Source organism: Homo sapiens, chromosome 7 (genome assembly GCF_000001405.40).
Source record: "Homo sapiens chromosome 7, GRCh38.p14 Primary Assembly".
Lineage (NCBI taxonomy): Eukaryota > Metazoa > Chordata > Mammalia > Primates > Hominidae > Homo > Homo sapiens.
In genome coordinates, this window is record NC_000007.14 from 49,569,261 (window position 1) to 49,585,086 (window position 15,826).

General features: G+C 37.3%; 1 long non-coding RNA gene across 1 annotated transcript in view; it reads left to right on the forward strand.

Moving 5' to 3' along the window:
• LOC124901804 (uncharacterized) overlaps window positions 1–15,307 on the forward strand; it is a 60,358-nt gene extending 45,051 nt beyond the window's left edge. The window contains exon 2 of the long non-coding RNA XR_007060628.1: window positions 15,063–15,307. This is a non-coding gene — a long non-coding RNA (uncharacterized LOC124901804). The remainder of the gene's footprint in view (window positions 1–15,062) is intronic.
• The last annotated feature ends 519 nt before the right edge of the window (window positions 15,308–15,826 follow it).

Here is a 15,826-nt window from a genome sequence, read left to right on the forward strand (position 1 = left end):
TCTGTCACCCAGGCTAGAGTGCAGTGGCATGATCTTGGCTGCTTGCAAACTCTGCTTCCTGGGCTCAAGCGACTCTCCTGCCTCAACCTGCCCTGCAGCTGGGATTACAGGCACAAGCCACCATGTCCAGCTAATTTTTTTGAATTTTTAGTAGAGATGGGGTTTCACCATGTTGGCCAGGCTGGTCTCAAACTCCTGACCTCAAGTGATACACCTGCCTCAGCCTTCCAAAGTGCTGGGATCACAGGCATGAGCCACCACACCTGGCTAATATTTTTAAATTATAAAAATAATATGCTTAATTTATAAAAAGAGTAAAAGCAGAGAAAACCGAATAGGCTTTATAATGTTAGTATAAATTGATATCAAATCTGGATAAGGAAATTATGAGAAAGATCAGAAAATACCTCCCATTAATATAGATGTGAAATTAATAAATAAAATTTTAGCAAATTTAGTTTGGCAATATATACAACTATAAATACCTCATGACTAAGTGGTATTTATTCCACAGTTGGTTTAATATTAGAAAGTCAATGTAGTTCATCACATTAAAAAGATAAAGACAAAATACCATTATACTCAGAGACACACAATAAAGCATTTGATAAAATTAAGGAACTAGAAATGAAATTTAGAAAACTAGAAATAAATTGAAGCCTTCTTAATATGTTAGAAAATATTTATAAGAAATGATCTTAGCAAATTGCAGAACAGGAAACCCAAAACCTCATTCTCAGACAGAGACGTTGATTTAACTACCATGTCTGGTCCACAAAGTCTTAATGAGACCTCTAGAAATCAGTTAAGAGTTGTAGTATCCCAGACAATTTCAAAGACACAAACATCCATAATGAAATGGTCAAATCTCAGAAAAAAACTAAGAAGGCATATGAAGAAATGGGGCAATATGAGCTAAACAAAGGATTAAGATAAATCTTCCGAAACTGACCCTAACATAAAGGAGGTATATAAATTACTTGAAAAAGCATTCAAAATTTGATGAGTTGAGGAAACAAAAAAGTAGTCAACAAAATGAAAACACCAACAAAGAGGTATTATGGAACGTATTAAAAAGCAAAGAATTCTAGACATGGGGAATACAATAACTGAACTGAAAAATTCACCAGAGTGGTTTAACAGCAGACTTGATCATGGAGAAGAAAGAATCAGTTAACTTGAAAACAAGTCATTCGAAATTATCAAGTCAGGGAAGAAAAAAGCAAAAGGAATGAGGGAAGCAAAGAAGGCCTAAAGGACTTATGGGATACCATCAAGCATACCAAGTCATGAATTATAGAAATACCAGAAGGAGAAGAGAGAGAGAGAGAATGGAACAGAGAGTTTATTTGAAGAACTAATGGCCAAAATTCTCACAAATATGAGGAAGGAAATGAGAATTCAATTTTAAGGAGTTCAAATGCTCCAATAAGGATGAACTAAAACAGGTCCACACTGAAACACATTAAAACAAACTGTCAAAATTAAAGATAGAGAGGATTTTGAAACAGCAAGAGAAAAGCAACAAACTACATACAAGGGCGCTTTCCTAAGATTATCAGAAGATTTCTCAGCAGAAATATTTTATGCCATAAGGACATGGGAGCATATATTTAAAATACTGAAAGAAAATACTTGCCAGCCAATAGCAGTATATCCGTCAAAGCTGTCCTTCAAAAATGAAGGCAAAATAATTTCTCAGAAAAAAGTTTAAAAAGCTGAGGACTTCATCACTACTAAACCTGCCTTACAAGAAATGCGAAAGAAAAAAAAAAGCCATTCAAGTGGAAATAAAAGGACATTAGACTGCAATACAAAAACATAAAAGTATAGGCCTGGCACGGTGGCTCAAGTCTGTAATCCCAGCACTTTGGGAGGCCGAGGCAGGCGGATCACGAGGTCCAGAGATCGAGACCATCCTGGCTAACACGGTGAAACCCCGTCTCTACTAAAAATAAAAAAAAATTTTCTGGGCGTGGTGGCGGGCACCTGTAGTCCCAGCTACTCAGGAGGCTGAGGCAGGAGAATGGCGTGAACCCGGGAGGCGGAGCTTGCAGTGAGCCGAGATCGCACCACTGCACTCCAGCCTGGGCAACAGAGAGAGACTCCCATCTCAAAAACACAAAAACAAACAAAAAAAATAAAAGTATAAAGGTCTCTGGAAAGGGAAATATATAGACAAATATAGGCATATGTAATACTCTAACGGTGGCATATACATCACAATATTCTAGTATAAAATTTAAAAGACAAAAGCATAAAAATCACTATATAAAACTAGTTAATGGATACAAAATAGAAAAAGATAGAATTTGTAACATCAATATAAAATGGACAGGAAGATATAAATGGAGTAGAGTTTTTGTATGCAATCTGGGTTTAGTTGTTATCAATTTAAAATAGATTTTTGTAACTATAAGATCTTCTATGTAACCCTCATGGTAACTCCAAAGAAAATACCTATAGAAGACACACAAAAGAAGCTGAGAAAATAAATCAAAGCAAATCACTACAAAAAAATCAACAAAATACAAAGGAGGGCAGCAAAAGAAGAAAAGAAGAACAAAATAACTACAAGACATACACAAATCAACAAAATGGCAACAGTAAGGCTTTCCCTATCAGTAATTAGTATGAAGTATAAATGGATTAAACTGCCCAATCAGAAGACATAGAGTGGGTAAGTGAAAAAAGAACAACAACAACAGATAAGATCCACCTAGAAATGATCTAGAAGAAGCACATTTTATATAAGGACACTCAGAGGCTATAGGCTAAAAGTGAAAGGACAGAATAAGATATTCCATGCAAATGGGAAACAAAATAGAGGTGGCCATACTTATATCAGACAAAAATGAATATAAGTCAAAAATAATTCCAAGAGACAAAGAACAACATTATATAATGCCAAAAAGTTCAATTTATCAAGAAGATATCACAATTACAAATATATATGCACCTAACATCAGAGCATCCAAATACATGAAGCAAACATGGACAGAATTTGAGAGAGGAATAGACAGTGAAACAATAACAGTAAGAGATCTTAATATCACATTTTTAATAATGAATAGAAAAACTATGAAGATCAGTGAGGAAACAGAAGACTTGAAAAACACCATAGACCAATTGCAACTAACAGACATATACAGAATACTCCACTTAACAACATCAAAATGGCACATTCCTCTCAAGTACACATTCAGCATTCTCCAGGATATGTCATATGGGAGGCCACAAAAACGTCTTAACAAATTTAAGAAGATCAAAATTATACCAAGAGTCTTTATAGACCACAAAGCAGTCAGTAGCAAAAGAATCAAAAGAAAAAGGAAAATGGTAAAATTCACAAATATATAGAAATTGAACAACATATTCTTAAACAAGAACAATGGGTAAAATAATAAATCACAAGGAAACTTAGAAAATATCCTGAGGCAAATGAAAATTAAAACACAACATACCAAAACCAATGCAGCAAAAAAACTTTTAAGAGGGGAATTTATAGAGGTAAACACCACTTTAAAAAAGAAGAAAGATCTCAAAAAAAAAAAAAAAAAAACTTTTAAATTTCAAGAAACTAGAAAAAGAAAAAACCCAAAAGTCAGCAACACGAAGAAGGTAAAGATTAGGGTAGAATAATAAGGAATAGAAAAACAACAGAAAAATTAAGTGTTTTTTTAAAAAGATCAACAAATTTGACAAGCCCATAGGTAGATGAACTAGAGAAAAAAGAGAGAATGTTTACACAACAAACACCAGAAATGAAAAAGGAGACATAATAACTGATGCTGCAGATATAAATAGGATTATAAGAGACAAACTGTGAATAACTATACAGCAATGGACTGGATAATCTAGAAAAATGGGTGACTTTCTAGAAACATACAACCTAACAAGACAGTTGAAAAACACCAAAGTACCCAACAAAAATAAAATGGAAAAACCAATTGTGTTATATTATTACAATAGACTACTATTGAGAATGAATGAGTTACAACTACAACGACATGCTTATCTACAACAAATATGATAATGAGCAAGAGGAGCCAGACACAAAAGAATGAATTTTGTATGGTAAGTACAAAACAAGGGAAATTCATATGTGCCGTTAAAAGCTGGGCCAGTGTTTATTTTGTGGAGGGTCGTGGGACTGGGAGGCACATGATGTGTAGATTCTGATGATATTCTGGATTCTGATGATATTCTGACAGTTATTATAAATATGACTTTTCAGTTTGGAAACTGCTTATGATATACATGTACAATTAAACAAGTTTCAGAAATTTTAATTAAAGTCAAAATAATTAATTAATACTATCTATGCTGACAGCACTCTATCTCTAGAGCATATGTGATTTTTCCTGACCCCAGATTCACATATCTACCTAATTACTCAATACTTTCATTTCCATTGGGTATCAAATAGACATATCAAAAATAGTATTTCTAAAAATTCTAAAGATTTAATGTAAAGATTAAATCCTGAAATTTAATCCTAAACATACTTTACTTGTAGCCACTCCCATTTCAGCTGATGGCAACTTCATCCTTCCATTCATCATGGCAAAAATCGTGGAGTCATTATTGAGTCTTCTTTTTCTCACTTGCACTTGACTCCATCTGCTCAGGAAATAGTGTTGGCTGTACTTTCAAAATATGTTTATATTTTCACCTCTTTCCTCCCCCAGTGTTTATAACCTGGTCCAAGTCACCACAATTCCTTGCCTAAATGACTATAATGGTTTGGTATCCCTGTTTTTACTCATGTTCCTTCTCATTTATTCTCAGCACCGTGGATATATGATCGCACTAAAATATGAGTTGGAGTCAGTTAACACCTGGCATTGAATCTCCTTTTCACATCTTGCAGAGGTTTACAAAGATTGGCACAATCTCTTCCTTGCTAACTTTTTGTCATATCTCCTACTTCCCTCTACATTGTTTTACAGCCACATTAGCCCCTTTGCTTTTCCTTAAATATGCTAGACATAAGTGTCCAGCCCTTCATGAAACTGCTTCCCCAATCATTGATGTTGCTTCTTCTATCCATTAAGTGTCAGTTAGATGGACTAGCCCATCTTCACACATGCTTCTTTAATGCTCATTGACCTTATGTCCTAAAACTGTGAAACAGATCAATGTATTAAATTATTTTTAAAATGTCTGCACAAAGAGAACACTGATATTAAGGTAAAAAAGTAATCCCAATTGTATTTTCCATCATGAATTTGACTCAATTTACAAAATGAGATTGTATAATATGTACCAAATGACAGTGTTGTCCAAATAATAGGCTTTCAGAATTATTATCATGAACTAATACCAAAACCAAATTCTTCCAACTTTCCATATGTAAGTCACTGTAAAAAGGTTTAAAATATAATTAGATAATAAATGGGATATATTATCAATACATTCTCTGAAACATGGATAGATATTAAGCCAAAATCTCCAATATTTAATCCTATCCTACTTCTGCCCCTTTAAAATGGAAGGGAGAGGGAGATAAACACAAATATCATTATATCTAAGCTTTGGCCCCAAACCCAGGTTAAGAAGCATTGGTAATTTTCCTCTACAGTGAGAGACTCTAATTACATATATTCTGTGTGTTAATCACAGTACTATGATTACTACCTCTAGAGGCTCAGATGAACCATGCAGAACAGAACCTGCAGAAATACTATTTGTCAAGGTTAAGTAGATGTAAACTACCTGCCCCAGGATGGTTCCCCTTTTGTCTTTCTAAAGTCTAGAGAGAGCACATGTTGTGTGATGAAAGGGGGTCCAGATTTATTTTTACCCATCAGCTCAGAAACTGAAGAAATGGAAAGCACTAGAAGAAAGATAAAGGAACAATGAGCAACAGTGAGTATGTACATGTGACATGTTATCCTACTAGACTAGCACCAAAGTAGGGTATTTGCAATCTATCTCTGAATCTAAATCACTGATAAGATATAACACTCTGATTATCTTTTGATTTAAAGGATATAATCCTTAATTTAATATCTTTATGCAAGGAAGCATAAGATGAGGTCAGGGAGAATAAAGGAAAGTAAAGGCAGTGCACCAATAGCTTAACAAACACAATCATGGATTAACCTTATTCTTTCTCTACACTGCCTAATCAGACCCAATGTTAGGGCTAGGTCTTCCTTGCTCCCTGGGTGAAATTTGGGTATGATTTTTCTGGTGACTCTCAGATAAGAATGCAGTGGCCCCTTCAATCAGCCTTTTGTCTGTGGATATTTTTCAGGCATAAGTCTGACACCTCTCTACTTTGTCCCCTGAAACATAGTAAATATGTTTACTTTTCTTCAAACAGATTCCTTGGAATCCTTCTCAGAACTTTGAGGTGATAGAAACATGGGTCTCACAGCACACTGGCAAATTTTACCAAAGAAATCTCCCTTCTGATAACTTCAGTTTCAAGATTTTGATCCCTGCAGAGGGCATGAGATTATGGGTTGCAAAACTCTTTTTTGACCATTGTCTTTGCACATATTGCATCAGTCATATTTGGGGATGTGAGAGTACCTGCAGCTCTTCTTGCCTCGGGGGACTAAGCCAATCCTACATTCCATTTTAGCATCCTATTCGGAGACATAAGCAAATTCCACTAGTTGGGCTCATTATATGAGCCAGTAAGAATGACCTACAGGAACAGGGTTGGGATGGATGTTAACCTTCATACATATTCACAATCTTGCCCAGCCTTGGCGGGGTGAGGGGGATGTGTTTCTTTTTAATGGGTGTGTAACCTTAAGTATATCTGGTACATCTCTGCACTTTAGTTTCTATATATATAAATCATGGCTTACAATATCTGTTTGTTACAATGTCTGTGAATTTAATGGAGCAACAAGCATTAACAATTTTCCTATACAGTAAGAGACTCTAATTACATATATTCTATGTGTTAAACATGGTACTCTGAAGCATAAAGAATGAAAAATAAGTCCTAAATTCATATCATAATTAACCCAGCAGAAACTTTCATCTAATGCAATTATGTCGGGAAAAAAATCAAATGTGAATATATGTGTGTGTATATATATAGATAGATAGATATGTATATATATATGTGTATGTATATGTGTATATATGTGTATATACATATATACAATATATATTCAGTTTCGAAATAAAGAATACTAGCATTTTATCCTTTCCTTTAAAAATGACAGCCTTGCAGAGCTGCCTGTTCCTACTCCAGCCTCTTCTAATACCCTTTTCCAAATTTCTTAAGAATAAAAGGAAGCACCCTATGTTTTAGGCCATGGTTCCTTTTTCAAGTTCCATGCTTTCTGTTAGTGAACAGGAATTAGAGTGAAGTTCTGGAAAACTAGCAGATGGCAAAGCAAAGCAGTATTTCCAACTCCCAGCTCCAATCTCTCCCAATTCTAAGATAATATTTTTTCTACATTTTTCTTAACCTCAATATCTTTGCTTAGGAATGTCAACAAAGTTTTCTCTCAAAATGTTCAGGCACTAGAAATGAAAACGTTCTTTTTAGCAAAATGACAATACATTGTCTAGATAAGCGGCTATAACTAAATATTAAAATGATAATATGACACACTCTTCTTTTATCATTGAGTCTTCAGTAAGTTGTTTCAAGGACATTTCCCTTGTTTTTCTGGAGAGCAGTATTTTTAAACTAGAAGCTATTATATTCACTTGTTAAATGTCAAACCATTATAAAGCCTTTGAATATTTAAATATTCAACCAGAATCTGGTGCTATGTATGCCTCAAAATCAATGAAATGTTTAAAACTACCAAAAAAAGTATAATTTTTTTAACTAGAACTATGGTTAATGTTTTTGTTTTATATCTTTATTATTAGGATCTCAAGTTTAAAGGTTCTTAGATCCCTTTTGGGCTGGTAACAAGAACTGGGGAGATGGAAGGCCTGTCTCCTAAGCCTGATGTAAGAAAGTATGATTTTTAAAAAATAAGGAATTCTAACTGGAATATACGAAGTGTATGGCTGGGAAGACACTACCCTCTGACATTAATCCTCAATACTTGTCAGGGCTTTATGATGTTTGAAAACGATGTCATTATTAAGCTTTGTATGTCTGTATACCAATGACAGATTGTTCTATTTTTCTAATGGCTAGGAATAGAATTTAGATTTCTGGGGAAATATAGACAATATGAAAGAAAGAGTTGAAACTAGTCTTTTATTTTTCATGTTTTTCCTCCCCCAATCCAATTAATTTTCCTATTAACTGAAATGAGGTGCATCTTCCATTGTTCATTCACTAATTCTTTCATTTATCCACTACTTATTTCTTGAGTTCACTGTTTCATGTAGGGTTCTGGACACCTGAGATATTTCATGCTGTTTTCACATCCACTGATGCTTCTTTGTTGGTTTGTGGTAGATTCATGACCTCATCTAAATGCTGTCACAATTTTTATCTTGTTTATCAAATTCAGGCAATTAGACTCTAGGCTTTCTACTCCTCTGTGCCACCTGCATCAGCTGTACTTACTTAGTACCCACATAAAAGAAGTTTAATCTCTAGAGTATCATCAATTTCCAACCTTGATGGGCCATGCATGGTGACTCTGGAGCTTCTGTTCTGTCATCTGGCAGCTCCCTCTGCAAGAGAAGATGCAAGGGGAGCAAGAGGGGAAAGATGGAGTCAAGCTTTTACCCTCTCCACTTTTCTAATTGCTTACCTCAACACTTTTAACAATCTTCCAAAGAGAGGAATAGAACTGTGTGCTACAATAGGAGGAAAGAAGAGAAAGAATGAGATAGAGAATATTCTCCATGTCTCTGTACCAATTTTCAGTTCCCCCATACCAACAGCTCCAGTAAGCCCCAGGTGTTGAGCCCAGAAGTTCCATGTCATGAAGAGGGTGGAAATTCTGAAGCCTCTCTGCACCTGTTGTCAGAGTGGTTTTGAAACTCACAGAAACCATAAGCGGCACCTTCTACACATGATAGGACTATTTGGATTATTTGAAAACAGGCAAGAATTTTGGAACTCAAGGGGAGAGGAGTCAAAAAAGAATTACTCGCCTTATGTTCGTCGTTTTTCTAATTTCTTATAATGAATACTTTAGTCATTCCTAATGATAGACTGTACCTATTTCTTTTGGTAAACTAGGTTTCTCTGATAAATTGAGTTAGGAAATATTCTAATTGCCACTGGTTTTTCACAGTTTTCCTTTATATTCTCTCTCCCTGGAACTTCTCATCTATGCTCATGATTTTAACTACAACATTTACACAGCAGACTTATCAAGATATATTGCCAGGCTAGATGGCTCTTCATGATCTAGATTCATGATCAAACTTATGACCTTTTCCCTGAAAAGAAAAAAAAAAAACTTCCAATGTGTTCTATCTTGATTAATGTCACCACCATCCATCATTTTATGCAATTCAGAAAGCTAGAACTAGTTTTGACACCACTCTCTATCTCATCTTTCAATTATAATCTATCATTAGGTTCTGGTATATTATTTCTAACAAATCTCTTCCTTTTTTTCCATCCATCTATCAGTATCTTGGTCAAAGCTATTGTGATCTCTCTCCTCTCCTGGAACAATCTAAGAGCCTCCAAAAGTCTCATATATTAGCTTTATTCACCCTTAATTCCTTTCTCTACATACACTAAAGATGTCATCTCAGTCTCCAATGAGAAAGTTCAATGGTCTTAACTGCTTATTATGATAAAGATAAAAAAAAATATCACCTATGATATCCCATGGGATCTGATGCTACAGCAATTATAGTCTGATCATATGTCATTCTCCTAACTCTCAAACTCTGCCAGTTTTCCTAGGGGCTCTCCTTTTCCAAAATCTTCAGACTTTCAAATCCTGTAATTATTTTGAGTCAATGCAATACATAATTTTTAAAGAAATACAATATTTGTAGCCTACTTGTGCATTTTCCCAATTTCATATAATTTTGTCATAAATTGGATATGGGTTAAAACTATTCCCAAAATTCTGAGTTTAAGAAACTTGCTGTTAGTATCTTTATATAACAACAACAACAACAACAAAAGGCACATGCCCTCAGAGCACTGGCTGTGTGCCAGTCGCTTTTTGTGTTTATTGCTAGGGGCAGTAGCAGTGTTGACATGAGCAGTAGTTGTAATAGCAGCAGCGACGGCAGCACGTTTCCCACGGGGGGCAGGCGCAATGCTAGTGCTCCTGTCTGTGCTTCCACTGCAGCCACAAAACACAACTGAGGGATTGAGGTTCCCTGCCCACTTTAGAGGCCGGCAAACAGGACCAGAGCCACAGTTGGGGAGGTGCAGGGCTCTGTACCGCTGAGGCCACAGCACTCCCCAGCCGAATGCTGGTCGCCGCCCGACACGGGGAACAAGCCGATCTCAGAAATGGCCACAGCAGTGAGTTTCTGTGTAGCTCAACGCCTGTCTAAGTCCAGGGAAACTCTGGGAGTGGGTGAGTAAGAGAAATGACTGGCAGCTAGCTCCTCATGCCACTCCTCCAGCCCCTTCCGGAGAGGTGTGGGCTTAGAGAAACCAGGGCCTGGGGGACAGGACCAAAATGCCCTAGGGACGCGGAGCTGAGCTTACTTGATACTTGATGGAGAGGCCCTAAGAAATATAAATGAACTAGAAATATAAATGAGCAGTTAGCAGCCCTGAGGACCGACCTGCGTGGCTGGCACCCAGGAACCGCCCTCTCCATCTGCAAGAGGTTTTTTAAACTATATTCTCCGGTGGTTAGTCCGGCCAGCCTCAGGCAAGGAGATTCTATGAAAAAGGAATTCATATCAAACCTGTATTTCTACTCTAACAAGTTTTTAATTTGGCATTTTGGTAGTAGATTCACCTGCTGCATTTTCTGGTGAAAACCTCTGCTCAATGTGCAAATCCCACGTGTTCGCTGTTGTTCTCACTGTTAAGCACATGTCTGGGCCGCGGGAGGCACTGCCCTTCCCGGCTGGTGTCCTCAGTACCCGCTGGGTGAGGAAAGTGCGCCCCCACGGCTGAGGTGGAGCCTGCCCGGCCCCAAGGCCCCACCGTTGTTCTAGGAAGGGCGCAGTCCCGGGGCGGCCCCTGATGCCCTGGCTCAGAAACGCAACCCGAGCCAGAAGTAAGTGATGAGGGGGTTGTTTTGCGGTATAACTACCAAAGAGGACTGATAGGCTTTATTTTCGATTCTGAAATCTCGCTTAATTCAGGTGGGAGTAACAGACCCAATCCCTCACCCCTCCCAGAGTACCGTGTTTTTCTCTGCCATGGCATCTGCTGATTTAGTTGTCATGTGTACAACTCTGAGCTCAGAAAACTGTCAGCTCCCTGGAGGTAAGGGACGTTGCCTCTTCGCAGCATGGGGGTCAGCCAGCCAGAGACTGTGTCCTGGGATTATACTCAGAGTCTGGATGAAGACTGCTCGGGCTGTGATCCCAACTGTGCCATTTACTATGTTATCTTGGCCGAATATTTCAACTTCTTGCCTCAGTTTTCTCTCCTGCAAAGTGGAGATGACAGTATAAACTCCTTCAGGGTTATGGTGAGGGTTTCACAAAATGACACCTACAAAACACAGCAGACTTTGACACATAGTATGTACTTAATAAATGTTCTATAAATATATGCAACACAGTGCCTAGCACATTCTTTCTGACAGAGAACGTCAGAAAGTTTTTGATGAATTAGGCAATCAATCAATTAATCATACTAAGAAAAAACTAGGAAGTAAGAAGAGGAAGAAAAGTTAATGAGTCATAAAGTACCCACATACTTGATGGAGAGGCCCTAAGAAATATAAATGAGCTAGGTTTCTCTAATGCCAACAAAAAGCAGGCATTTGAGAAAATTCATTCTCTCTTCTAAATTGTATTCATAATTTTGTGTGCATTTACTCAAAATGGCTTCAAATTATGTAAGTATCAGGTGTCTCAGAGCCTGGATATACCCTGCCTGGCACCTTTTGTTAAAGAACTGACATTTTTGGACTTTATTCAGTGCCTCTCTATTTTATAAGCACAAAACGGGGAGCTTCCCCTTTCCCCATTCTTTGGAATGGCATTGAGTCTCATTTACTACTGGGTGAACATGGCAAACAAAAGAAATATGTGATGAGCTACAAGCATATCCTGAAGAGAACGAAGTATGCTGCTGTGCAAGTCAAGCCAGAATGCTGTGCAGGTGCCAGGCATTGTCAAGGAGCTGGAGCTGAAGGGACATGGGTGCCTTGCAGTCTGTGGGGTTTTGTTTATGTGACTGGAAACTCCGTTAAACAAAATCTTAATCAGATTGGACTTCCATTCACTGTTACTTTGGAAAGTCACATCTCACATCACTTCCCCATTCAACACATAGCGACAATTACTGAAATTTAAAACAAGCAAATGTGACCAAAGATTGCTGGACAAAACAGATCTGTATACTCATACTGCCACCTTCATTCCAAAGCCACAGCGATTATCAATAAAATGTAAGAAGAGAAAATTGCCCATTTTTAATCTAAAATTCAAATGTAACTGTGTGTGCTATATTTTACCTGTTAAATGTAGTAACTCATCAAGCATTTCTTATTTAATGAGAAAGTATCGATGGGCAGTAGTGAGAGGGGGACATTCAAGGACAGTAATAAAAAAATACAACTTAGAGGACATTAAACCAGATGAAGACATAAATAAACAAGACAATATGGGGAAGAAAAACAGAAAGTAGTGGTGGTTGCTGTAGTTTTTTTTTTTTTTTTCAGTTTTTGTACTACAAACTTGAGGGGAGCACAATTAATGTAGAACAAATTGGACACAAGTTTCACTGGGAGTAAACTGGCATTTTCCACATAACATGCAACGAATAGTCCAATAAGGAAATAAGCCATGCACAGGAAATAAACTATAATTAGAAGGAAGTCACCGCCCATGGACTAGAGGCTAGCACATTGATGGCAGATATAGGCAGGAATTTTAAGTCGTCTGTGCCACAAACAAGGAATAAAGGAAAAAATGAGTCATGGATGAAAGGGTTAACTCAAGATTGCTATTCAAGGTATTCTGTGACTGATGATCTATTTTTTCTTCCACTAACTCTGGTCATCTATGTTGGTGAAAATTCTAGTATGTGTGTATGCTTTGTCTTCTATCAGCTTTACTGACTAGAAACAGTGTGAACTGAAACAGCCAAGAGCTCATTCTCCCGAAGCCTGTGCCTACTGGTCTGGGGTTACAACACCTCAGGCCACCAGTGCCTTCCATGCCCTTGCAGCCCTTTAGTTGCCCAAAGCAGAGAATAAAAAGAGAGTTACCACCTCCATTCTACCCCTAAGTACATAAAAAATAATGAGTATAACGTAACATAACATGACATAATAATCCTTTTAAACTCCAATGCCTGTATATACTAATTTCGTCATATACAACTCATAGACAGTGAATGGTAAGCCAAACCCACGAAGCTCGTTTGAAATTCTCATTCATGCTATAATTCTGCATGTTCAAGGTTTAAAGAAAATATTTACCAGGGTTACCCACAGTTACCTCCCTGTCAAAAAAATGTGCTTATCACTGTCCCTCAATAGTTTTATTTCCAAGCAACAAGTTAACAGTCTTAGAATATCTACCTGTTCTAGATTTACCTTGAAGGCATAGTTGATCTATTTCCTATTTTTTCCCCATTGTATAGAGCACCCTTGACGTAAGTAATTTCATTTTAGAAAAAAGAGTCCATCTTACATTTCAAAAGGCATCATACCAACAAGAACCAGAGGTTCGCCTAATCCATAGAGGCTGTACCCAACCACAGAAAAACATAACTGGACATCAGCCCTCGCCAGAGGACTCTGTGGCCATAAAAAGAGCAGGACTTCACCAGCTCATGATGGCTGATTTGATACACTCCAATCTGGCTGTCACTTCTGATCACCATCTGTCAGTCAAAGGTTCTGCCCAAATCAAAAACTCTTCTTGGAAGCCATTGACTCCCACTCAGATCAAGCCATGACACTATCCTTGTCCACATTACTCTTCTTGGACTAGTTCATTAATCCCTTTTCCTATTTTATTCTCTCTTGACTTTAAATGTTACTTTGATGTGGAATGCTTAATCTATGACATTTATACATTGATTAAGTATACTACTACATATGGTTTGCAACTTTGACTGTCTTGCGGAGTGACTTGAGACTATGTGTCCACAGCTCTGACTACTGAGTGAAATGGTGGTACTAAGGAAAATTGCTTCCTTGGGAATTCCATGTAGCTCATGGCTTTTATGATTGAGATAGCATCACTAAAAGTCTGACCTTGTGGAAAGACACGAATGTGCATGAACCTGGTTATGTCTGATGTTGTGCCACTCACAACACTCATGAAATGAGCTTAGTTTCTGTATGACACATTTTGAAAATTGAAGCTGTCCGACTGCATTCCCTTCACTCCTATCTCACTCTCATCACCTCATCCTGGATTACTAACATAAACTCTGTCACTGGTTGATCTCTCTTTGGTTTTCTCCCCATTACTCATTATTTTATTCATTCACTCTATTGCTCATTGATTCGGACATTTGCATATTAACGCACCCACATAATATGTAATGTGTGTACTATGTATCAGGTACTGTCACATGCTTTAATAATCATAATCATACTTACTTATTATGCAAAATATTATTAATCTCCCCAGTTACATGGCCAATACTAAAGTCAGCAATATTTTTATTAAAGTATGTCATCATATATACAAATGTGAAATGAGATTAAATCCAAATTTCCTAATTTGAACTCTATCACATAAGAAAACTTTCCTACACTATTAGCAATCTATTTCAAAAGATTCTGGAAGAAAAAACAAACATGCAGAAAACACATATATTTCAGAAAGACATGCATAGGGCAATGAGTTGATAACAGGTATAACTATTCATACTGGGTTGAATTGTGTGCCCCTTCTACCAAAAGAAATATTGAATTCCTAACTTGCTATAACTGTGAATTCGATCTTATTGGGAAATAGGGTCTCTGCAAATGTAATTAAGTTAAGGATGTCAAGGCCACACTGGTTTCAAGTTAGATTTTAACTCTTTGGTATCCTTGTAGGAGAAGGAAGAAGGAGATTTGAGACCCAGAGAAACAGAGGAAGAGGCCATGAGAACATGGAGGCAGAGACTGGAGGGCAATCATGAACTAAAAACCACCAAGGATTGCAGAAGTCACCAGAGGCTGGGAAAGAGGCACAGCATGGATTCTTCCACAGAGCCTCCACATGGAACCAGTACTGCCAAAACCTTGATTTCAAATATCTGGCCTTAAAAACTGTGAATAAATAATTTCCTATTAAGTCACTCGGTTTGTGGCTATTAGTCATGGCAGCCCTAGAACACTAATATGCTGTCTAACAGAAAATGTGTGGCTCCCTGTCCTAGACCAATATGTCGGATACATAATTTGTGTGATATTTGAGCTCAAGAGAAGACCACCACCTTGGGAAGTAGCAGAGAGCCATTCCCCCTTCCTATATTTCTGTCCCATTCTCCCTTCCTATATTTCTGTCTCTGGTCATACAATTGGGCTTTCTGGCACACTGCTGTCTGTGCTAGAGGGTGTGAGGCAGAACATTCCTGTTCATGTGACTGTTCAGGTGGCTCTTTTGCAAGTCCAATTATTCCTATAGGTGGCTTTATTGAGTGTTGAAGTATCCAATAAAGACACTGCTTTTTTCTTATGAGATTGTATTTAAATTTTTAAAAATTTAATTATAAGATAGCCATCAAATATAATAAGGTCTTTATTCCTGAGGAAGTCTAAATGGGAGAATGTAGAATATGGTTACTGTAGAGAAAAATGGGCTAGCCGACTGACAT